A 26966-nucleotide genomic window follows, 5' to 3' on the forward strand; every position below is an offset into this window, starting at 1 on the left:
ATATATATTTTACCTGGTTCTACATGGGTTTATGTAGTCAGTACATAGGAAGCTACAACAAGCTAATTGGAATTAATATAATTCTTAGAATACGTTGAGGAAACTTGGTGTTAATGAATGGTTTCATTAAGAATAAATGAGTCATCTAAAATAATTTAATTGAAATAAATATCTATAATTAACTGAGAAGTTTTGGGAGCAGAATATTATAGTCAAGTACCAAAAAAAAAAAAATCCTAGTAAAATAATAGACTCTAGAAATAGAAAGACCTACTTTTGAGTTTCAGCTTTTTCACTTGTTATTTTGCTTTGAGCAAGTTGTTTAACCTCTGTAAGCCTATCTCATCATTTCTAAAGCAGGATTAATAACAGTACCTATTTTTTAGGATTGTTGTTAAAATTAAATAAGATAATACTTGTAAAGATTGAGTGTAGAGCCTGGTTTATAACAAGAGCTCAAGAAATAGGCTTTTCTCAGCAGCCACCAATGTGCTCTGTCCTTCTGAGGACACTAAGGCTGCCTTGGAGTGAGACCTTCACTTTAGTAGATAACTAACACCTCACTCGCCTGACAGCACCAACCCCGGACTCGCCTGAACCATGGCCTCCATCTCCAAGATTTTGCATCTACTAAGCCCTCGTTCTGCACAATGACAAGGTGACCATCACAGAGGATAAGATCAATGGCATCTTTAAAGCAGCTGGTATAAATGTGGAGCCTCCTGGCCTTCCGTGGTTGTTGAAATAATGAGTATTTTACAGGGATTCTAGTGGATTGCTCAATGCAATTCTTCAGCATGAGTATTACTGTTTATGTCAAAAAAGCCATCTTTGACAATTTGATGCTATCAGGTAAAATTGCCCTGTTTCATTGCTGCCTTCTTTTGAAAAGTGATGTTTATGACGTGCAAGTTGCTTAATTATATGGCTGACTTGGTTTCTGAGGTCTATCAAAGACTTTCTGTTTTTGACTTAGGAATTGTTTGAGAATACCTTTCATGTGAAATAGTGTAAAATCATTTACTAAGAAATATGTAAAATATCTACATAGAAAAAGTTCTAGAAAGTATAGAATAAAATGTTTACAATAGCTTTGTAGGAGAAAGTTGAATAGCAGAGATGGAAATGGTGGCAAAGGCTGAGAAGACAGAATTTTAATTGTTACTGTATATATTTCTACACTGCTCTTTTTGATTGTTAAACAATGATCTGCTATTAGCTTTGCAGCTGAGAACATGTGTGCCTTGAGAAACTCATGTGGCATTTTTTGCACATGCATTTTTTCCTTTTTCTAGGCATCACTGTTCCTGTTTTACATATAAAATACACCAAAAGAGATGCCTCCCTGAGTAGAGAATGCTTTTATTATTTTCCTCTTTTTCCTACTAAAAATATTTGTAAAATGAGAACACTAGAACATTGGGGTTAAATAAGAATCAATAATGGCACTAAATTCTCAAGATAGAAATTCATAGTATCCATTAATCACAGAGTACGTGTATCTTATTTATAAATCATCTCCAAATAATCTTACTTTGGTAGAGTAAGTGGATTTTGCTTTAGTAAACATTTAGTGTGATATGTTTCCAGAATAAGAATTTCAGCAATGGACTATATTGTGCATTCATGTTACCTATAGAGAGTGACAAATCCAATCAAAGCTTATTGTACTTTTTATTATTCCCATAATAAGAAATACAATAAAGTAGAATATAAATGGCCTGAGGCACTCACTGCTTTATATAAATAAGATTTTTAATTAAGGAAGAAAATACATAATTACTTATTTTAATTTAATCATAGTTTTTCATCATTTTATACCTTTACATCAGCCGCTATAAATTCATGTCTAAAATACCATTGCACCAAATGAAAGCCTGGAAATGGTGAAGTGGATGTTGCTGAAGAAATTGAGATGTTATTTCAGGTACATTCTTCAGGAAGAAAACTCCTTTGTCTTGTTTTAGATGATGGTCTTGAAACATCTGATTTTTTAAGCTATAATTATGTGACTTTTTATTCTTTTAATGTCACAAAGTAATATTGCAATCTCCAAGTGACTCTGAATATGGCAATTTTAGATTTTATAATAATTTTTTTGATAGCTGAATTCTAAATGTATCAATTAATTAGAAAAAAGTCACCCTAGTTTTGGAGACAAATCAAAATAATAGGAAGGAAACCTTAAAATCATATTTAAAGATCTTCAGACAACTTTTAAGGATACTATTATTATTTAAAAACAATTGAAAATTATTTTTAAATACCTTAAAAGTATTTTTTCATAATCTAATTAATATTTAGCAAATGATTCCAAGAATGAGACAATGATACAGGTATTTTAGGACATTCATTCATTCATTCATTCATTCAAAAATGTTTACTAGGCATCTACTATGTATCAAGTTCTATTCTAAATTCTGGTAACACAGTGGCAAATAAACCATCAAAAGAAATGTTTGACTACCATTATATTTCAGACACTATGCTTGGTACTGGGGTATAGTAATGAATTAAAAAGAAAAAATTCTGGGCGCATTGGCTCACGCCTGTAATCCCAGCACTTTGGGAGGCCGAGGCGGGCGGATCACGACGTCAGGAGATAGAGACCATCTTGGCTAACACGGTGAAACCCTGTCTCTACTAAAAATACAAAAAATTGGCCTGGCGCGGTGGCTTGCGCCTGTAGTCCCAGCTACTCCAGAGGCTGAGGGTGGAGAATGTCATGAAACTGGGAGGCGGAGCTTGCAGTGAGCCGAGGTAGCGCCACTGCACTCCAGCCTGGGTGACAGAGCGAGACTCCGTCTCAAAACAAAAAAAAAAAGAAAAAAGAAAAGAAAAGAAAAAATTGTCTGTTCTCATGGAACTTATCTTCTAACTCATACATTCAAAAATATGAAAGATAAATGAGTAAAACAGATAGTATGTTTGACAGTGATAAGTACTCGTAGGTAACATAAATAAAGCAAAGTTGAGTGTGTGTGTGTGTGTGTGTGTGTGTGTGTGTGTGTGAAATTTTAGATAGGGTGTCAGGGTAAAACTAATTGAGAGCATGATTTCTTTAATAAGCACTTGAAAGAAGCAGGCAGAGCTCTATCTGGGAGATTATCTGGTATCTAGTTGAAGAGACTCCTAGGCAAAGGCAATAGAGGTGGCAAAAGCCCTGAGGAAAGATTGTGAACGAAATGTTCCAGGAAGAGCCAGGAGGTAAGATGGTCACTGTGAAGAGAGCAAGATGGAGTGGATAGGAAATAAGGTTAGAGGTGCAGTGCAAATTGGTTACCTTTGTAACAGATTGTATATGATCTTATAGGTCATTGTAAGGATTTGAGCTTTTACACTAAGAGAAATGAGTCACTGGAATTTTTTTAAGCAAGGAGATGACACGACTTATGTTTCAACAGGATCATTTTGACTTCTGTTTCAACAGTATAAATTTGTCTGTTGCCTTCATAAAATAACCTTAATTATTGTTTGGAGATGATGTTGGCCTTGATTGTGGTGGTAAGTTGGTAGACACCTAGAAATATTTTGAAGGTGAATCCAACTTCAGCATTTATATGGAGACAACTCTATGTAAATAATGTGACAATCTTTATACAGAGGATGACAGGAAAAAAATGACTCTATGATGTTGGGCTGATTGTCTTCAAGTAAGTGTCTGCCATTTAACTGAAATGGGAAAAAATTATAGCAGTGCAAGATTACCCTCTGTAGCGCCACCCCCAAGAGTGGTGTTTAGTAATTCAGTTTTGCATGTGTTAAATTTGGACGCCTTTGGACATTCAAGTGGAGATATCAGGATATATGGTGAAAGATTCAGGCTGGTAAAATCATTGAACATCATTTCCATGTACATAATAATTAATGCCATAAAATGAAATAATTTAAGGAGTTAATATAGATGGAAAAGAGAAGACTTCCAAAGACTAAACCTTGGGTACTCCGATATTTAGAGTTTGGAGAAATAAGGAATCCCAGCAAATGAGACAGAGAAGGAGTCACCAGAAGTGTAGGAGGTAATCCAGGTACATATTATGCCTTGGAAGCCAAGAGAAAAAGTACTTCAAGGAAGGGAGAGTAGTCAACCATGCCAAATAACACTAGATAAAGTACTATGAGGACTTGAGACATAAACATTAGATTTAGCAAAATGCAGGGGTTTTTTTAAAATGACCTTGATAAGAACAGTTTTACTGGACTGATGGGGATAAAACTTTGAGTGTATTCAAGAGAATGGGGTGGAGGGGAAGAGAAATTGCAAGAAATTGCAGGTGTTGAGTACAGCATGGACAACTCTGCCAAGGAGTTATATCTTAAAGAAAAGAAAAGAAAAGAAGGAATAGTAGCTGGAGGTGGAAATGAAGTCAAGATATAAAATATATGGCTATACATAATGTTTAAAAGTATGCTTTTGAATCTTTTATTACTGCATTTTGATTATAGCACCTCATACAAGTCACATTATAACCGATAATTAAGAAAAAAAAAGAGATCATAGTCTGATTCAAATGTAGAAAATGGGCAAGCAATGATTGAAGAGACTTTATGCCTAAGAGGCTCACCTGCCAATGAACATGATTTTTACAGTTGTATTATGATTATGATGAACTGATAGGCCTCAGAAACGTCAAGTGATTTGCTACACACTTTATAAGAAAATCAACTAGCAAGAAGCCATTATATTAGAAAGAGCCTTGACCTTGGTGAAGTGGTAACAGACTGCAAAGTCATAATGTCATTTTCACTTAAATTGGAATTAAGACTTTAGGAGGAAAATGCTCCTATGGGAGGAAAGACTTTCCAGAAGGAATTACAAAAAGCCTTATGTATGTTATGAATCTTTACTCTTTGCGAAGAAGTGTTCTTGAAATAAGAGATGGGAATCATAAAACTTGGATATTTTATAAGCTGGATTTATTATTATGTATTATGAGTCAAATTGTGCGTCCCTAAAGGACATGTTGGACTCCTAACCTTCAGTACCTCAGGATGTGACCTTATTTGGAAAGGTGACTGCAGATGTAATGAGTTAAAATGAGGTCGGCCGGGTGCTGTGGCTCACGCCTGTAATCCCAGCACTTTGGGAGGCCGAGGTGTGCGGATCACGAGGTCAAGAGATCGAGACCATCCTGGCCAACATGGTGAAACCCCGTCTCTACTAAAAATACAAAAATTAGCTGGGTGTGGTGGCGCACACCTGTAGTCCCAGCTCCTCGGGAGGCTGAGGCAGGAGAATCACTTGAACCTAGGAGGTGGAGGTTGCAGTGTGATGAGATCGTGCCACTGCACTCCAGCCAGCCTGGCGACAGAGCTAGACTCCGTCTCAAAACAAACAAACAAAAACGAGGTCACACTGGAGTAGGATGAGCCCTTAACCCAGTATGATTGGTATCCCGAGAAGAGGAAAAGAGACCCAGAGACACAGACATGTAAGGGGAGAACACTGTGTGATGACAGAGGCAGAGATTACAGCATGGCAGCTGTCAGCCATGGAACACCAAGGAGTGCCAGCAACCACCAAGGCTAAGGAGAGGCAAGGAAGCACTCTCCCCTCCAGATTTCAAAGGAAACATGGCCCTGCTGATAGTTTGATTTTGGACTTCTCCAGAACTGTGAGAAAATAAGGTTTTCTTCTTTATTTCCAGATTTTCTACTTAATAAGGATATTAAAATCATGTTTGTAAAACCCACCCAGTTTATAAAAGCCACCCAGCTTGTGGTACTTTGTTATAGCAGCCCTATGAAACAAATACACTATCTATTGCCAAATGTAGGAAAATATAGTGAAAAAAACCTTGCTTAGAGTTTGAGTTCCAGTCTGAAAAACAAAAACAATGTAGCAATTGGGCAGCCGTGGATGACTAACAATATAAACCGAAGAATCCAGCAGTATTATTATATTATTAAATTCAATTATTAAGAACAGACTATGTGATTCTTTCCCTGCATCATCCCAAATCTCCAGAATAGCCTATCTGCAGTGTATGTATTATAGCTCCTATTTCATAGATGAGGTAACCAAAGCTTAAGGGAGTAAAAATAATGAGTGAGACAGAATTCTGGCAGATCCGAACAATTTCTATGAAACACCTCCCTTCCATTAAAGTACAGAAGAAAATAGCACATGAGAAAGTTATCAAAGTTATCTACCAATGTGTATGAAGATATGTTCCTAAAACTCATTTAATAAATTTTTTGTTATTAACAAAAGGCATGTTTATGATTTTCTCACACTTCATTTTTTAAAATACAAGAACTTTGCTTCATGTTTTATATGAGGGTAAAGAGATTTAATCTATAGAGCCATTAAACAAGTACTGAATTGGTGCATGACCTGTATGAAATCATCATGTGGCTCTAAAAATAAGACTTTTTAAAAACTGATACCATAATTTCTAGAACGATTGCTCAAAGAAATGAATGGTCCTCAACCCCAAACAACCAAAGAAAACAGAAAAGCCTGACAGAGATCTTTATTAAAATGTATCACCTCAGGTAAGAAAATATAAAATGTGACAAAATCAGAATAAATGAACATAAATAACAAAAAGTAAGACAAACATGATTTTAATAGCTTTATTAAGTAGAAAATCTGGAAATAATTGAGCCCTAAAACATAAAAGAGAGATAAAATGTATTGTGACTTTTGCTTACTTAGTCAGATGTTTGTGTTTTGAAGAAAATGAAAAAAAAAATTATAAGAGAAAATATTCTGCTTAAAAAAATTAGTGGAAAAATCAGAGGATTTTTGGCTATGTACCAGTCCTATATAGCAGGAGTCCCCAACCCCGGGGCAGCAGCCTGCTAGGAATCGGGCCACACAGCAAGAGGTGAATGGTGGGCGAGCGAGCTAGTGATATGGTTGGGCTGTGTCCCCACCCAAATCTTACCTTGAATTGTAATAATCCCCACTTGCCAATGGCAGGGCCAGGTTCAGATAATTGAATCATGGGGGTGGTTTCCTCCATGCCATTCTCGTGGTAGTGACTAAGTCTCACGAGATCTGATGGTTTTATAAATGGGAATTCCCCTGCACACAATTCCTCTTGCCTGCTGCCATGTAAGACAAGACGTGCCTTTGCTTCTCCTTTGCCTTGTGCCATGATTGTGAGGCCTCTCCTTTGCCTTGTGCCATGATTGTGAGGCCTCCCCAGCCATGTGGAACTGTAAGTCTATTAAACCTCTTTCCTTTATAAATTACCCATCTCAGGTATATCTTTATTAGCAATGTGAGAACAGACTAATAGAGCTAGCGTTCCTGCTTGAGCTCCGCCTCCTGTCAGATCAGCTGCGGCATTAGATTCTCATAGGAGCTCGAACCCTGTTGTGAACTGCGCGTGTAAAAGACCTAGAGTGTGAGCCCCTTATATGCCCGATTATGCCTGAGGTGGAACAGTTTCATCCTGAAACCACCCCTCGACCCCGATCCTTGGAAAAATTGTCTTCCATAAAACCTGTCCTTGGTGCCAAAAAGGTTGGGGACTGCTGCTATACAGTATCTGTATATGTGTTTTAATGCTTAGGTTATTGACCTTTTGCATTATCTTATGAATCTCGCACATATCAATGTTTAGTGAAGAAAAAGAATTTTTCTTCACTAAATTTTTCTTCAGTTAACAGGCTTCAGCCTTGATGGAAAAATTTCCTTATGTTCAATTCTTCAAAATGATCTATTTATATGAGTGTCATATGGCTAAGTTCCTTTCTTGTCCTAGGAGGGCAGACATCTTTATCTTTTTGTCAGTTAGGAGAAAGATAAAAGATGAAGCAGCTGGAGAGAACCGTGGCTGTGGAGGAGTGGTTACTATTCTTTGGCTCCAGTCCTCTTCATCTCTAGCCACTTCCTCCCTTGTACCTCTGCTGTCTTATCCCAAAGAAAACTGCTCACTGAGGCAAGTGGCATTTTCAAGAAGATATTGCAATGGCATCCACAAAGCCTATTCATGTTGAGAAATGAGGGAGAATGTGCTTCACACAGTGGTCCCGTCATATAGTCTTTTATGAGCCAAGATAAAACTGTCATTTCCTCTTCTTTAATAGCAAAAATTATTTGTAATAATTTCATGCATTATTGTGAAACAAACAGCATAGTAATTAAGATAATAAACTTAGGTACTAGACAGAACTGGTTTCTAGTTGCAGGTTTTTCAACTTTCTAAAGTGATGCATGGCAAAGGATTTAATCTCTCTAAGCCCAAATTTCCTCTGGTGATAGGGTTTATGAGAACAAAGGACATCATAATTGGAAAGCACCAATTTCAGTGCCTGTAGAAAGTGTATGATAACAGTAAAGTATTGTTATTGTTTATCTTTTTTTTTTTTTTTTTTTTGAGACGGGGTCTCACTCTGTCGCCCAGGCTGGAGTGCAGTGGCGTGATCTCGGCTCATTGCAAACTCCACCCTCGGGTTCAAGCAATCCTCCTGCCTCAGCCTCTCTAGTAGCTGGGATTACAGGCGTGCACCATCACACCCAGCTAATTTTTTGTAATTAAAATCCCAAAGTGCTGGGATTATAGGTGTGAGCCACCGATCCCAGCCTGTTATTGTTTATCTGTGTGACCTTAGATAAGTTACTCAATCACTCTGTGCCTCAGTTTTCTTGTCTGTAAAATGGGATAATTATATTATCTGCTCCATAGAGCTATTGTGACAAAAAAATAAAGACTATATCTAAAGCACTCAGAACAGTGTTTGACATGTCCTAAGTGTTCTGTAAATGTAAGTCACCATTATTGTTGTTATACCATTATTGTCAGCAGTATCATTTATTAATGTAATAATAATAAAATTAGATTCTAATTGTGTTCATTTATAATTGATATATATTAAGGGTGGCTAGCTAGCATTATTTAGGTATGATTTGGAGGCTGCTAGAAAAAAATCTCCCTCCCACTCCACCTCAATCCACACGTCTTGCTTAGAGAACTCCCAGCGACTAAAAGCTCACCATGAGACTCTGAATGTAGAAGTCTCTTCGCCAAAGGATCTCCCTTAAAATGAGAGTTTACAAAATGTAAAAATTCTAGTTTCAGAAATAATAATACCCAAATTAAATTATAATATGGATCAATTTATCAGGTCATTTTACTTCTTGGTAGCAAGAACATGGTAAAATTCAAGAGCAATGAGATTTCCAGAGTGTTGAAGCAGGCTCTGTAGCCAGAATAAAATCAGAGCAAGAGGCAAATAATGTGTGGAAATTGACAAAGATAAGCACTGTCACTTTAACATTTGAGTGGATTTTATTCAAATGACTGCAAATATTGAAAGTGCCATTCTTGTTCTTCCCTTGAAGCAAAGGTAACTCCAAAAAGGTTTGGGTAAGGAATCAGTGGCAAAGCATGATTTATGAAAAATTTCCTTAGAACACTGCAGGAGGCAAGCCCAATGTAGAATGTCTTTCCTCAGAAACAGTGAAACAAATGGATGCATTCATTTGAATGTTCCATAATGGGAAAAAGAGACTGGTGATAAGAAATGGCTGCCTGATTATTCTTTTGAGGAATTAAATGTAATAGAAAATGTGCATAAAAAGAAATATTTGAAAAGTTTTGGCTTATGAAGAGGAAAATGTTCTCAGCAAAAAGTCACTAAGTTATAAAATCATTTGCTAACTAAAAAATGAAAGACGGAATTGGAAACTCGGTAAGGTTATATAGTTTGGATGTTTGTCCCCTCCAAATTTCATGTTGAAATGTCATCTCCAAAAAAGAAAAAAAAAAAAAAGAACTGTCACCTCCAATGTTGGAGATAGGAGATGTTTGGGTCATGAGGTGGATCCTTCATGAGTGCCTTGGTGCCCTCCTTGCGGTTATGAGTGAGTGCTCACTCTGAGTTCATGCAAAAGCTGGTTGTCTAAAAGAACCTGGCACCTCATCCCCTCTCTCTTGCTCCCTCTCTTGTCACATGATGTGCCCAGTCCTCCTTTGCCTTCCGCCATGAGAAAAAGCTTCCTGAGGCCTCACCAGAAGTTGAGCAGATGCTGGTGCCATGTTTGTACACCCTGCAGAACTGTGAACCAAATAAACTTTTCTTATTTATAAATTTCCCTATCTCAAGTATTCTTTTATAGCAATGCAGAATGGATTAACACATCAGGAATATATTAAGTATTAATATTTGCATGACATTGTTGGTTTTAGTGATTTTACCCAGCAGCAAATTTATGTAGGGTTGGTTATAAGCAATGTAGTGAATCTACATTACACAGACAACAAATATGAACTTTTTAAAGAAAATAGTCCCATCACACAGAATTTTTGAAGTTGACTAACCTTGGAAATTCTTTTTCTGGCACAGGTACAAAATTATCAAGATTGACTTTCCATGTGTTCACATTAACCACATAATAATCAATCAGGAGATAACAGTTTTTGAATTCAGTTTAACTTTATAGGCTTAGCCACTGTAACAGGACCTTTATTTTGCAGGGTTATAGCCTATAGAAAAGTGACTATAGGTGATGAAATATGTAATCAATACATATTGATTACATAGAATAAGGACCTGCCAATAGAAAACTGATTTAGATTATCATACAGGACAAGAGTGCCCAGTGCTTGTTTGAGACCTTGGGGTGGGTGAAGGTTGGGGTGGCTGTGGCAATTTCTTAAAACAAGACAGAAATGAAGTTTGCCACATTGATTGACTCTTCCTTTCACAAAAGATTTCTCTGTAGCATGTGATGATGTTTGGTCACATTTTATGCACAGTGGAATTTCTTTCAAAATTGAAGTCAAACTTCTCTAAGACTCTAATGGTTGAGGATGGAAAACCGAACTGGGATTGGGTGGAAGTAGATGCAAGTTCCATGGAAATTGTCACTGACTTAAAAATTTTACTTAAACATAGTTCTGTTACAACATTTTCTGTAAAGGATTTTACTAAAACAATTAAGCACCAGTTCAAACATGTTTGCAATCATTTAACATGACCTTAGGAAGTCAACACACACGTAATATTTCTTGTTATCTCTAGTATTGAAACACAAAAGTTAAAGCCAAACTTGTAAGTCAAGTTAGATCATCATCATCGTTATCTCTATGAAAAAAAAAATAGAACAACTTGATTTCTATCTCACTCCATACCCCAAAGTCTTGTTTTGTTTTGTTTTCTTTTCTTTTTTGAGATGGGGTCTCTTTCTGTTGCCTAGACTGGAGGGCAGTGGTGTGATCTCGGCTTACTGCAACTTCTGCTTTCTGGGCTCAAGTGATCCTCCTGCTTCACCTCCAAAGTAGCTGGGACCATAAGCTCGTGCCACCATGCCTGGCTAATATTTTGTACTTTTGGTAGAGACCAGGTTTCACCATGTTGCCCAGGCTGGTCTTGAACTGCTGAGCTCAAGCCATCTGCCTGCCTCAGTCTCCCAATGTGCTGGACTTACAGGTGTGAGCCAGCAAACCTGGACCTACACCCCTAAGTTAATTCATGATGGATCATGGACCTAAATATAAAACAGCACTGTAATGCGGCTAGGCACAGTGGCTCACGCCTATAATCCTAGCACTTTGGGAGGCCAAGGCGGGCAGATCATGAGGTCAGGAGTTTGAGACCAGCCTGGCCAACATGGTGAAACCTCGTCTCTACTAAAAATACAAAGATTAGCTGGGCGTAGTGGTGGGGACCTGTAATCCCAGCTACTTGGGAGGCTGAGCCAGGAGAATCGTTTGAACCTGGGAGGTGGAGGTTGCAGTGACCTCAGATCGCGCCATTGCACTCCAGCCTAGGCGACAGGGTGAGACTCCGTCTCAGAAAAAACAAACAAACAAACAAAACAACCAGTACTGTAATGCATTTAGAAGAAACTTCTGGTAGGTAGAAATTTCTTGGACGGAACACTAAGAGCAATACTATAAAAGCAAAAAAAAAAAAAAAAATTGATTGGATTTCATCAAAACTGAATAGGTTTATCAAAAGTCACCACAAAGAAAATAGACAAGCCATAGATTGGGAAAATTATTTGTGGCATATATATGGCAGAAGACCTGTGTCTAAAACATAAAAAACCAACCTATAAGTCAACAATAAAAATACAAACAATTCAATAAAAGGATGGAAATAGAGATACTTCACAAAAGAACATATACAAAATACCAATAAGCATATGAGAAGGTGCTTAACACTGTTAGTTTCCAAGAAAATTCAAAATAAAATGACAATTAGATACCATTTCACACCCACTAGAATGACTAAATAAAAAAAAAACCAATAATCCTTAATACAGGCATAACTCAGAGATATTGCAGGCTCAGTTCCAGGCCACTTGCAATAAAGCAAATATCCCAATGAAGCAAGTCACACAATATTTTTGGTTTCCTAGTACATAAAAAGCTATGCTTAAACTTTACTATAGTCTATTAAGTGTGCAATAGAATTATGCCTAAAAAATGTATGTACCTTAACTAAAAACACTTTATTGCTGAAAAATGCTAACATTCATCTCAGCCCTCAAAGAATTGTAATCTTTTCACTGGTGGAAGGTCTTGCCTCGATGTTTATGGATGCTGATTAATCAGTGGTGATTGCTGAAGGTTGGGGCAATTTCTTAAAATAAGACAATAATGAAGTTTTCCCACATTGATTAATTCTTTCTTCCATGAAAGATTTCCCTGTAGCATGTGATGCTGTTTTTTTGGTTACATTTTACCCACAGTAGAATTTCTTTCAAAATTAGAGTCAATCATCTTAAACCCTGCCACTGCTTTATCAACTAAGTTTATGAAATATTCTCAACCTATTTTTTTTGTTTATCATTTCAACAATGTTCACACCGTTTTCACCAGGAATAGATTCAACTCAATAAACCACTTTCTTTGCTTTTCTGTAAGAAGCAACTACTCATCCAATCAAGTTTTCCTGTGAGTTTGCAGCTATTCGTCACATCTTCAGGATCCACTTCTAATTCTATTTCTCTTGCTATTTCTACCACATCTGCGTTACTTGCCCCACTGAAGTCTTGAGACACTCAAAGTCATCCATGAGGGTTGAAATCAACTTCTTCCAAACTCCTGTTAATGTTGATATTTTGACCTTCTCCCATAAGTCACAAATGCTCTTAATGGCATTAGAATGGTGAATCTTTTCCAGAAGGTTTTCAATTTACTTTTCTTAGATTCATCAGCAGAATCACAATCTCTGTCAGCTATCACCTTACCAAATTTATTTCTTAAATAATAAGATTTCAAGGTAAAACTTATTCATTGATCCATGAGTTGCAGAATAAATGTTGTGTTAGCAGGCATAAAACCAACATTAATCCCCTTGTACATCCCTATCAGCGCTCTTGGGTGATCAGGAGCATTGTCAATGGGCAGTAATATTTTGAAAGAAATTTTTTTTTCCTGAGCAACAAGTCTCAACATCGGGCTTAACATATTCACTAAACTGTGCTGTAAACAGATGTGTTGTAATTTAGGTTTTGTATTTCATTAGTAGGGCAGAGTAGATTTAAAATAATTCTTAAAGGTCCTTGGATTTTCAAAATGCTAAATGAGCACTGGCTCATTAGTGACTTAAAGTCACCAGGTGCATTAGCCCCTAACAAGAGATTCAGCATAGCTTTGGAGCCAGACATTGACTTTTCTTCTCCAGCTATGAAAGCCCTAGATGACATAAGCCTGTTTTATCTAAATTGAAAAGTTGTTGTTCAGTGTAGCCATTTTCATCAATTATCTTAGCTAAATCTTCTGGACAGTTTGCTGTGAGTTGTACATTAACACTTGCTGCTTCATCTTGCACTTTTATGTTATGAAGATGGCTTCTTTCCTTAAATCTCATGAAACCACCTCAACTAGCTTCAAATTTTTCTTCTGCAGCTTCTCTCTCTTAGCCTTCATATAGTTGAAGAGAGTTAGGGCCTTGCTCTGGATTGAGCTTTGCCTCAAGGGAATGTTGTAGCTAGTTTGATCTTTTTATGCAGACCACTCAAACTTTCTCCATATCAGCAATAAGCTTCTCTTGTTTTCTCATCATTAGTGTGTTCACTGGAATGGCACTTTTAATTTCCTTCAAGAACTTTTTCTTTGGTTTCATAACTTGGCTGTTTCGTGCAAGCAGTCTACCTTTCAGCTTATCTTGGCTTTTGACATGCCTTCCTTGCTAAGCTTAATTATTTCTATCTTTTGATTTAAAGTAAGAGACATATGGCTCTTGCTTTCACTTGAAAACTTAGAGGTCTTTGTAGGGTTGCTAAATGGCTTAATTTCAGTATTACTGTGTCTCAGGGAATAGGGAGGCCCAAGAAGAGGAACAGAAATGGGAAAATGGCTGATAAGTGGAGCAGTCAGAAAACATAACCTTTATCAATTAAGTTCACCATCTTATATGGGCGCTATTTGCAGCACTCCAAAATAATTTCAATAGTAACAATAAAGAACATTGGTCACAGACAAACATAACAGATATAATAATGATGAAACATTTGAAATATTACAAGAAGTCTTAAAGTGCGACACAGAGACATGAAGTGAGCACATGCCATTGGAAAAATGGCATCAAAAGACTTGCTCAGCACAGCGTTACCACAAATCTTCAATTTGTAAAAAAAAACACACTATCTGCAAAGTGCAAGAAAATGATGTGTAATGAAATGAAGAATGCCTATATGGGCTAGGCTATAGGGCAACTGAAATTCTTATACATTGCTTGTAGGAGTTTAAAATGGTCGAGTCGTGGCCAGGTGCGGTGGCTCACGCCTGTCATCCCAGCACTTTGGGAGGCTGAAGTGGGCGGACCGCGAGGTCAAGAGATAGAGACCATCCTGGCCGACATGGCGAAACCCCGTCTCTACTAAAAACACAAAAATTGGCTGGGCGTGGTGGCCCGCGCCTGTAATCCCAGGTACTCGGGAGACTGAGGCAGGAGAATTGCTTGAATTTGGGAGGCGGAGGTTGCAGTGAGCCGAGACCACGCCATTGCAGTCCAGCCTGGCAATGGATCGAGAATCCGTCTCAAAAAAATAAAATAAAATAAAATAGTAAAAATGAAATAAAAATAAAAATAATTAAAAAAATAAAATGGTCCAGTTGTTGTAGAGAACTGTTTGGTAGTTTATTATAAAGTTAAATATACGTCTACTCCATGATCCAGTAATTCTACTTATAGGTATTCATTAAAGAGAAATGAAAACATAAAATCACAAAAAGACTTGTACAAGAATATTGGTAGCAGTTTTATTGATAATAACCAAAAACGGATCACTCAAATGTCCGTTAAAATATTAAAGGATAAAAAAATTGTAGTATAGTCATATGGCAAAATATACAGCAATAAAAAAGCACTACCTACTACATGCAACAACATGAATTAAATCTCATAAGCAAACATTATGTTCAGCAAAGAATGTGAGGCACAAAAAAGTACATACTCTCTGACTCAATTTGCTAAAGTCAGGCAAGTTTATAATAATACAAATTTAAAAGTGTTTGCCTAAGTGGTGGAAAGGTGGTGTATGGGAAGAGGGATGGTTAAATGGACTGGGAAGGAGTTTGAAGGAACTTCCTGGAGCTATGGAAATGTTCTACATCTTGTTTTAGGTGGTGCTTTCATGGCTGGATAGAATAACCAAAATCTTAAAATCTGTGCATTTTTTACTTGTTAATTATATATCAATATAAAATGATTCCCAAATGGATTCTCATATGTTGGATTCCTATTGCATACCAGGCATTCTGCTTATGCCTTTGAAAGTGGTATCTATAAATAAGCCTATCAGTTCCTTATGGGAATGGGTATATAAATTTTTCTTATTTTAACATAGGAGGAAATTGGAACTCTTTAGATCAACTCCATGAAACTTATATGGTTAGTAAACATCGGAAATGTTATTTAAATCAAGGTCTAATGTCAAAACCCATGCTGTTCCTAGAATGTCACACTTGCATAGTCAATGCCACTTACAGTCTCTAATGACAAAATAAACAGACTTGGTAATTTGTGGGTGCAGTTGAAATAGATGGAGCTATGGAGAATGAAATTCAAAGACTGTGACTTGATGTCAGAAATTTTGTTTGTAAGAACCCATGTGTCATAGAGAGAAGCACAGAGTGATTCTTAGCATATTGCCAAACTTACAATGCCCATTAGCTAAATAATTTGAATGTGAACTATTTTAAGAAACTGAGTTATTTGGTGCACGTGCCTGTCAGAATAAATCACTTTATAATTCTTTTATTTGATAGAATTACAATTGTCAAAAAGATTCAGACAAAAAAAGGTATTTTTTCTCCTTCAATTGTTCCCTGCTAAAATAGCAATTTACTAAGAGAAAACAACAATAGAAATATGGAGAACAAATATGACTTTTAAATACTACTGGAGTAGATGATATAGCTAGAGAGGCTCTCAGAGAGTATCTCTCTATACATGAGTTTGCCTTGCTCTTTATCACAGTATTCAATTTTTTTTCGGTATCAGAGATCCATTTCTTTTAGGGTTTGATGATATTTTGCTCCTCACGAATACCTTACTGAAATGCAAATACCTCTCAGGAGTGGACCATTAAACTTTATCAACAAAAACAGGAGTTTCCGGATAAGGAAGTAGAAAACAAAAAGCAATTATGTTAGTCAGGATAGGATAAGCTATGTGGTGGTAATAAATAAATCCTGAAATCCTGGCCAGGCATAGTGGCTCACACCTGTAATCCTAGCACTTTGGGAGGCTGAGGTGGGTGGATCACCTGAGGTCAGGAGTTCGAGACCAGCCTGGCCAACATGGTGAAACCCTGTCTCTACTAAAAATACAAAAATTAGCCGGGCATGGTGGGGAGCACCTATAATTCCAGCTACTCAGGAGGCTGAGGCTAGAGAATCACTTAAACCTGGGAGGTGGAGGTTGCAGTGAGCCAAGATCATGCCACTGCACTCCAGCTTGGGCGACAAGAGCGAAACTGTCTCAAAAAAAAAAAAAAAAAAAAAAACAAAAAAACTTGAAATCCCAATGATTTTCATAGCAACATCTATTTCTTGCTCGCAAAATTTCTGATGTAGGGTAGGTGACTCCACAGACACTTTTTATACATGTACTAACATGGGGATCCAGGTTGTTTTTACCTTTTTGTTTTATTCTTTTGCCTTTTTTTTTTTTTGAGACAGAGTCTTGCTCTGTCACCTGGGTTGGAGTGCAGTGGCCGAACCTTGGCTCACTGCAACCTCCACCTCCTAGGTTTAAGCAATTTTCTGCCTCAGCCTCCCGAGTAGTTGGGATTACAGGCGTCTGCCACCACACCCGGCTAATTTTTTGTATTTTTAGTAGAGATGGGGTTTTGTCCTCTTGGTAAGGCTGGCCTTGAACTCCTGACCTCATGATCCACCCACCTCCGCCTCCCAAAGTGCTGGGATTACAGGTGTAAGCCACCGCGCCCGGCCTTGTTTTGCCTTCTTAAAAGGTGGCATTCCAGCCGGCCGCAGTCATCGCGCCTGTAATCCCAGCACTTTGGAAGGCCAAGACGGGTGGATCACCTGAGGTCAGGAGTTCAAGACCAGCCTGGCCAACATGGCAAACCCCATCTCTACAAAAAATACAAAAAGTAGCCGGGCATGGTGGCAGGTGCCTGTAATCCCAGCTACTCGGGAGGCTGAGACAGGAAATAGCTTGAGCCTGGGAGGCAGAAGTTGCAGTGAGCTGGGATCAGACCATTACACTCCAGCCTGGGCAACAAGAGCGAAATTCTGTCTCAGAAAACAAACAAACAAATAAAAGGTGGCATTCATGGCCTCTGGCAAAGAACGGTGAGTATCACCTTTATTCACATTATGTTGATCAGAACTCAGTATCCCTGTCCATTTTATGGAAAATGAGAAAATATTTTTCTACATGTGTAGGCATAGAAAATGATGTTATAAATACACACAACCTTCCACAGCAGAGTTATAGTGGTGAGAAAAACACAGAAAGAGAGGCTTGCAAATTCAAATGTGAATTTAGTCAATTTCAAGGAACATCTAGGATGGCTAATCTTGTATAAAAATGTAAACTTTAGAAACCACAGCTACCTCATTCCATATGTATATGTTCTCTTAGTGTATTCCTTAGACCTACAAGTGTCTACTGCCCTTTTGATTGTGCCATCTTGTTAACTCTCAAACCTTATCCTTAGGAGAGATCTGATGTGCTCTTTTCTATTAAGGCATAGGAAAGTCACCATCAGGACTGTGACCAAGCATACTTCCCTACTTTTTCACATTCCTAAGAAGTACATAGCTAGAATTATGTGGCATTCCCTCAAGTAACATGAACTTAAGAGAATGCTACTTATTTTAAATCTGTAAAACAAAAGCAACCAAAAAATCATTTTATTTGCAGATTCTGTATGCTCTATAAATCTCGTATTTTACAAGCTCCTTTGGATCATGAAAATAACTTCCTAAATGAAGAGTCTGCAAGGCCCCTGCCCACCTGCTCCTGAGAACACGCTCATCGCCTGCGGGCATCGCCTCCGCTCCCTGGAGCCTCCAGGAGATCTCTGACCCACCAGGGGCAGGGGAGGGCATTGGTGGGGGGCTGGGGGCATGCGCGGGGAGGCCGGGGCTGGGCCCAGGGGTGGCCGCAGGCCCCTTCTGTGTCTGGGGTGGGAGGGCTTTGGCAGGGCCCTTTTGGGGTGTGTGGCCCAACCCAGCCTGGGTGGTGCTACCCTGAGGGCCCGGGCAGTGCAGGGAGAGCCCAGGTCTGCAGGTGGGCCCTTCAGCAGCAGGTTTCATCATTCATTCATCCATTTAGTGGCTGTTTCCTGAAAAACCTCTGGGACTTCGCCCCAAACCTCCCGAGTCTTAGAGGGTAATGCAGCCGGAGATTGGCTGCTCCCAGGGCTGGAGTTCAGGGTAGGTGCAGTCAGCTCAGAGTCACCGCTGGGCAGTGAAGTCTGGGAAGACTTCCTGGAGGAGGTGGCATTGTCACCGTGCCCCAAAGCATTTGAGCCCCTGGACTCGGGACCCCTCGCCGCCCAAGGGCCTTGCTGGCCATCACTCTTCTCCCCCACAGTTTGTGCTGTCCCAGAAGAGCACAGCTGTTGAAATGTGCTCCCCATCTCCCCTGACAAGCTCCACCATCTTGCCCCATCCTCCCCTGCCAGCCCCGAGGGGGCGTGTGGGACAGGACACCCAAAAGTCCCTCTCCTTCCTGCCCTCAGCATCCCCTCTCAGCTCGTGCACACCAGAGGCTGGATCTGGAGGATGGGGCAGAGAGGCCTCCGGGTCCTGTTGTGGGGACGGCTGGCACCGGCCTTGGGCCTTCCCCGGGTGATCCCACTGAAGCACGTGGCCTTCTCTGACCCCATGCCTGACTGTGAATGGGTGAGGCTCTGAGGACCACAGAGACCTGTCCCTCAGGCCCTGCCCAGGCCCTGCCCATCCCTCCTGCCTGGGGCTCTGGGGCTGGGTCGGTGAGAGCAGATCGGGCAGTATCTGGGGAGTCCCAGCTCTGCCCTCAACTTGCCCTGAGGTGACAAAGCCTCGGCTGAAGAGGAGTGGGACCCACTGGGTCTGCAGTAGGTAAGGTCCAGGGCCCGACCACGCCTGGGGGCTGTCCCGGCTCCGGCCTCGGCCCGGGCCCCCCACCCCCCCGACCAAGCTGGCCTTCCTGCCTGCACCCATCTGGGTCTTGTGTGCCCCTGAGCTGGGGCAGTGCCCCCTGCCAGCATCCCAAGAACAGGAACGGACCGCAGAGGACCAGATGTGACTGCACAGGGGCCTGGACGCCAGCTTCTTCCCTCCCGCCTGCTTTCTCACCTGGAACCGTGGCCATCTCAGAGGAAATGGGCCTGTCTCGGGACTTTCTCACCCGCATCGCGGGGAGGGCCCTCTGGGCTGCCTGCAGTGCACCGTGTGTCCAGCAGGGGGCAAGCGCCCGGCCCCGGAGCCGCAGCCCACTTGGGGCCGCGCAGGGTCCTCGCCCGACCTGTGTCTGAACACGCAGGAGCGGCCGGGCCAGGCAGTCCCAGCGCATTTTAATAGTGGAATGTAATTCCTGGGCAGCAGAAAAATGAAAGTGAGATCTATGAATTATTACAAATGCTCTCAATCTGCTGTGCCGTGCAGCGGGGCCCTGGGCTGGAAAGCCTTTTTTTTCTCGTGTTTAAGTTGGCGTGGAAGATGAAATAGTCACAGAGACACAGTGGCCCCTCCAAGCTGTTATTGCCAGCTGTGTGTTTCCTGTAAACACTTTTCTGATTTATAACCTCACTCTGCTTTATAAATGGAAAAACCAGAAATACCTTCAGGAGCAGCCTTTCACCGCCCAAGAGGCCTCTGCGTCTGCACGTGGCCGCCGGGGCAGGGTGCCGGGGCTTCTGGTCAGCCTTCCTTCCCAGGGCCAAGGCCTCCACCCAGGCCTGGCGCGAATGTGGGTCCTGGAAGGGTGACCCACGGTGCCTGTTTGCCTGGGACATACGGGGTTTCCAGAACTCGGGGTATTCGATGCAAACCTGGCAGTTTCCCGGCAAGCTGCTTCCCTGGACTCTGGCGGTTCTTCTTTTGGTCGACAGACGCTGTGGATGGGTTTTCTGTTTGTTTTGGAAGGAGAGGAGGTACTCAAACATCCGGCGATTGTCTTTGCTGGCCTGTGTCCGAGAGGGGAAGCTGATGCCCGTGGCTGGAGGACCTCGTGTCGTACCTAGAGTCCCTTCAGGACGGCCGACTGCCAGCCATGGGCCACCCGGGAGCTCACCCCACAGCCCCGCCTCGGTGCCCACACCTGGGCCAGGTGGCCATGGGGTCCCCAGGCCTCGTGCAGTTGAGGGAAGGGACTCGCTGCAGCCTCCATGCTGGCGTCTGGCCTCAGAAAGAGGACACAGGAAACGTTGGCCACTGACTCCTGATATCACAGTAACCCAGGGCGGCTGAGATGCTATCCTGTTCAATGGGGAACTGAGTCACTTGTCCCAAGTCCTGCAGTGACCCAGAGCCGTGCAAGTCCAACCCGGAGCAACAGAGCCCTTGGAGCAGGCGGTGTGGATGGCGGCCCCGTCACAGCCAGGATGCGGGGTCAGCTGGGGTGTGGGTTGTCAGTCTCCTGGGGTTGTCCAGGGTGTGGGTTGTCAGCATACTGGGGTTGCCTAGGGTTATTTGGGGAGTGGGTTGTCAGTGTCCTGGGGTTGTCTAGGATTGTCTGGGGTGTGGGTTGTCAGTGTTCCAGGGTTATTCTGGGTGTGGGTGTGGGTTTTCAGTGCCTCGGGGTTGTCTGGGGTGTGGACTGTCAGTGTTCTGGGGTCGTCTGGGGTCTGGGGTGTGGGTTGTCAATGCCCTGGAGTTTCCTGGGGCGTTGCCTCCTCTCCCCGGGGCAGATCTTCGTAACATCAGGAATTCGCAGGCACATGTGTCTGGGCGTTGGGAAGCAAACAGTCTGTGCACAGTCTGTGCTGGATTTGCTCTGCGGATTCTTGAATTATCTGGAGAATACGAGCTTCCTGAAAAAATAATAATAAAAAAATAAAAAAAAATAACTTCCTAAAGAAAGAGACATAAAGAGAAGACAAAGCAGACTGACTATGAATAAATCACAATCTTAATTAATATTTGTTTTCTTTAAATATTCTTTACAGGAAAGTTATTTTCCAAGTTTTCTCATCAGAACTTGCAACAATGATGACATGCATCACTGAGAAATCAAGAGATGGAGAATAAAATTTTTCTTTGTGTTTGAAAATTACCTTTATGAAAATTAAATTACACACTTTTTAATATCCGGTGGATTAAAAAAGAAACCAAAAAGGAAACAAAAAATTTTTTGAGACAAATGAAAATGGAAACACAGCATGTCAAAACTCAAGGGGTGCAGCAAAAGCAGATCTAAGAAGGAAGTCTATAGCAATAAATGACCACATTAAGAGAGAAAAAAGATCTTAAACAACCTACCTTTACACCTTAAAGAACTAGAAAAAAAAAAACTAAGCCCAAATTCACCAGAAAGAAAAAATAATCATAAATATTAGAGGAGAAATAAATAAAATGGAGACTAGAAAAATAATAGATCAATAAAACTGTGTTTTCTGAAAATACAAACAAAATTAGCAAACCTTTAGATAAACTAAGAAGAGAAGAGAGAAGATTTAAAGAAATAAGATAAAAAATTAAAGAAGAGACAATCCAACTGATTCCACAGAAATAAAAAAGATCGTAAGAGGCTATGATCAACTATGAACAATTATATGCTGTAAACTGGATAATCTAAAAGAAATGGGTAAATTTCTAAAAACACAGGTTACCAAGACAGAATCATGAAGACAAAGAAAATCTTAACAGACTAATGATGAGTAAGGGAATTAAGTAATCAAAAACCTCCAAAAAAGAAAAGCCCCATAATTCATGGCTTCACTGGTGAATTCTACAAAACAGTTAAAAAATAAGTAACATCAATCCTTCTAAAACTCATCCAAAAAATTAAAAAGAAGAGAACATGTCCAAACTTATTATATTAGGCCTTTATCACCCTGATATCAAAACCAGACAAAAACACTACGAGAAAAGAAAATTATAAGCCAATATTCCTGATAAACATCATTGATGCAAAAATCCTCAACAAAATATTAGCAAACTGAATTCAACAGCATGTTAAAAGGATTATACACCATGATCAAGTAGGATTTTCCCTGGGATGTAAGGATATTTTAATGTATGCAAATCAATAAGTATGATTACACCATATGGATGGAATAAAGAAAAAATCCTATGATTTTTTCTGCAATAGATGCAGAAAAAACATTTGACACAGTTCAACATCCTTTCATGAAAAAAACTGTTAACAAATTAGGTATAGAAAGAATGTACCTCAGCATAACAGAGGCCACATATGACAGGCCCACAGTGAACATTATACTCAATGGTGAAAAGCTTTCAGCTTCCTCTAAGATAAGGAACAAGATGAGGATGCCCAATCTTATCACTTCTATTTAATGAAGTACTGAAGGCAAGAAAAAGAAACAAAATGCTCCAAATTGGAAAGAAATAAAGTTGTCTCTGCAGATGATATAATCTTATACATAAAAACCTTAATGCTCCACCAATAAAATGGTTAGAACTAATTAACAAATTCAGTGAAGTTGTACAATACAAAATCAACAGTGTGTTTGATTTTAATGTTTCTGTATACTACCAATGAACTACCCAAAAGAGAAATTTTAAAAAAATGCTATTTCCAATAGCTTCACAAAAATACAAATAAGTTTAACTGAGGCAGAGAAATATCTGTATAATGAAAACCGTAAAACATTGATTAAAAAATTGATGAAGACACAAATAAGTGGAAAGATATCCTATATCCATAGATTGGATGAATCAATATTGTTAAAACATCTGCACTGCCAGGTACAGAAAGACAAATGTTGCATGTTCTCACTTATTTGTGGGATCTAAAAATCAAAACAATTGCATACACAGAGAGAGAGAATAGAAGGATGGTTACCAGAGGCTGGAAAGGGTAGTGGATGGGGGTAAGTGGATACGGTTAATGGGTGCAAAAAATTAGTTGTAAAAAATGAAGACCTAGTATTTCATAGCACAATAGAGTGACTATAGTCAATAATAATTTAGTTATACATTTTAAAATAGCTAAAAGTTATTTAGTTATTTACAAACTGGGCTGTTTGTAACACAAAGGATAGTTGTTTAAGGAAATGAATATCCCATTTTCCATAGAGTGGTTAGTACACATTGCATGCCTGTGTCAAAACATCTCATGTACCCCCAAAATACATACACTTACTACGTACTCACAAAAATTAAAAATTAAAAAAATAAAGAAAAATTCCTGTACTATCCAAAGCAATCTACAGATTAAATGTGATTCCTATCAAAATTCTAGTGATTTTTCCACGAAAATAGAAAAGAAATCCAAAATTCATATAGAACCACAAAAGATCCCAAATAGCCAAAGCAATCTTAAACAAGAAGAACAAAGCTGCAGGCATCGCCCTACCTGATTTCAAAACATACTACAAGGCAATAGTATCAAAACTACATAGTATTGGCATAAAAACAGACTCATAGACCAAAGCAACAGAATAGAGAGCCCAGAAATAAATTCATGCATTTACAGTCAAATGATCTTCAGCAAAGGTGCCAAGAATACACAAGGAGGGAAAGGGCAATCTCTTCAATAAGTAGTGATGGGAAAACTGGAAATCCACATGCAGAAGAATGAAATCGATCCATATTTCACAATACATACAAAAATCAACTCAAAATGAGTGAAAGACATAAATGTAAAACCAAAAACTGTAAAACTACTGAAAAAAAAACATAGGAGAATAGCTCCACATCATTTTTATGAAAAAAAAAAAAAAAAAAAAAAAAAAAACAAAAAAACCATAGGGGAATAGCTCCATGTCATTTTTATGGGCACTGATTTTTTTGGATGTGACCCAAAAAGCACGGGAAATAAAAGCAAAAGTAGACAAATGGGATTACATCAAACTAACAAGCTTCTGCACAGCAAGGGAAACAATAAACTGTTTGAAGGGATCACCTATGGGATGGATGAAAATATTTGCAAACCATACATCTGATAAGGGGATAATATGCAAAATACATAAGAAATTCAAATGACTCAATAGAAAGAAAACAAATAACCTGGTTTAAAAACTGGTAAAGGATCTCAATGGGTATTTTTCAAAAGAAGACAAATGGCCAAAAGGTATATGAAAAAATGCTGAACATCACTAATTATCAGAGAAATGCAAATTAAAACCACAATGAGCTATCACCTCACACCTGTTAGAATGACTATTATGAAAAAAGTAAGTGTTGGCAAGGATACGGAGAGGAGGGAATCCTTGTACACTGCTGTTGGAAATGTAAATTAGTACAGCCATTATGGAAAATACTATGGAGGTTCCTCAAAAATTTGAAAATAGAGTTACTATACGATCCAATTATCTTATTTTTGGATATGTATCTAGAAGAAATGAAATTAGTATGCTGAAGATATAGCTGCACTCCCATGTTGGCTGAAGCATGATTCAAAATAGCCAAGCTGTGAAAACAACCTAAGTGTTCATCAGTGGATGAATGAGCTGCATGTACAATGAAATACTATTCAGCCTTTAAAAAGAAAGAAATCTTATTATTTGGGAAAGCATACATGAACCTACAGGACATTATACTAAGTGGAAAAAAAGACAAAGAAAGACAAATACTGCATGATGTCATTTATTTGAGGGATCTAAAAAAGTCAAACTCATAGAAGCATAGTGTGGTTGCCAGGAGCCAAGGTGGGGGTGGGGCAATGAGGAGATGTTGGTGAAAGGGTACAAAGTTTCAGTTAGACAGGGTAAATAAGAGTGTACTCTTATACAGCATGGTGACTACATTTAATAACAATATATTGTATACTTTAAAGTTGCTAAGAGATTAGATCTTACATGTTCTTACAACAACCAAAGTATGTGAGGTCTTGGATATATCAATTAGCTTGATTTAACTATTTCACAATGTATATTATATCAAAACATCACGTTATATACCATATATGTACAATTTTTATTTGTCATTTATATGTTAATAAAAAATAATAATAAGTAATCTGAGTCTTTAAGAAAAAAAGAAAATTATCTTTACAGGATAAGTTTTCAGTTTATCAACAAAAAGAAAGATTTAAGCAGAACTTTTACTTATCTCTGGAATATCTTTTTATCAAGATAAGGAGATGAAAAATAAATTCTTCATGGAAACCAATTTCAAAAGGCTATACCACTCTTTTACAGGAAATACTGTTTCACACCATTACATGTAATAAGAATTGATTGTCACCAGCTCAGTTTGGTAATACAGTTGCAATATAGTTGCAATAATTACTTCTGACACTGTCACAAGCATCAAAATGTTTAACAAATATTTCACAAATGTGAAGATAATTCTAATAAGTGATTTTTCACGATATTTCTTTGTTATTTGGTAACTGTAGCAAAATGCCAGATGATTCTCATTACCATAGAAGTCAATTGGCAGGTGACAAATAATTTTTACAAAGTTATTGAATCAATGTCAGAATCAGAGTAAAAAAAATTGTGATGGACTTGCTATGAGTAGAACTACTGATTGTTTCTGACATCATTGCTTTCCGAGTTTGAGGTTTAAATAAGTAATAGAATTGTAAGGGTTAGAGAAATGGCCTCAAAATTAAAAGGCGAGATTTATATGCATTCTGAATAGAAACCAGAGGAAACTGGAGAAACCACCACCATTACAGCAACATCCAGCTTTTGATTACTTATAATCATAACCATTTGATTGCTATTTGATAGAAATAGTCTTTTACAGCAAGTCAATTTGATGAAAAATTCCTGTCACATTGAGTATTTCTTTCAGGACACGTGGCTTTGATGACTTTGATCCCCTTTCTCTTTCTTTTTGTCTTGGTGGCCATGATGCAATAATCTGTAAGAATAGGGAGATGATGAGGCTGAATAGAGCAGCTGTATGATTGACCATCACAGTGGTCAGAATCCAGAGGACTCAATCAGCTCACTGGGGTGAGGATTAGCACGCAGGAACTGCTGATTGATGGGCACTGCCTCTTCTCAGCTCCAACACAACACGACCAATCCTGCAACCATGACATCTGAAATATGAGATTGTGGAATGAACATGACTTGAAGTGAGGGTGCTTTCCTGAAGGAAAGAGAAAATTAGGGAGAAAGAAAAAATAGTCTTGATTATAAGCACTGTGATTAGGACCATGATAACCACAGCTCAAACTGAAGCATAAAAGGTATTTGGCTTTTGTTTTTTAAACATATGAACACGGCAGATGCCGCTTTGACTTGCCTCAGCAATAGCCTTTACTCGGTGTTAAGTCTAGCCTCCTTATATACTTAGCAATTTAAATGTGTTGAATAAGATTTTTAAAATAAAAGGATACTTAGTACTCAAGAATATTAATACATGTGTTTCCTAAAGGTTACGGGGAAAAAAGATAATGTCCCAGTTGTATGTTCTGAACTAGTACAAGTCTAAAGAAAAGCTAAATGCAGT

The 26966-nt window shown here is 39.0% G+C and overlaps 1 annotated feature.

The window, feature by feature from the left end:
- Window positions 19540–20051: an enhancer, noted in NCBI's record as "H3K27ac-H3K4me1 hESC enhancer chr5:50218379-50218890 (GRCh37/hg19 assembly coordinates)". NCBI's record gives its function as "activates a minimal SCP1, AML or CMV promoter by ChIP-STARR-seq in naive H9 embryonic stem cells {active_cell/tissue: H9 hESC(naive)}" and the evidence as "EXISTENCE:reporter gene assay evidence [ECO:0000049][PMID:30033119]".

Source organism: Homo sapiens, chromosome 5 (assembly GCF_000001405.40).
Source record: "Homo sapiens chromosome 5, GRCh38.p14 Primary Assembly".
Taxonomy (NCBI): Eukaryota; Metazoa; Chordata; class Mammalia; order Primates; family Hominidae; genus Homo; species Homo sapiens.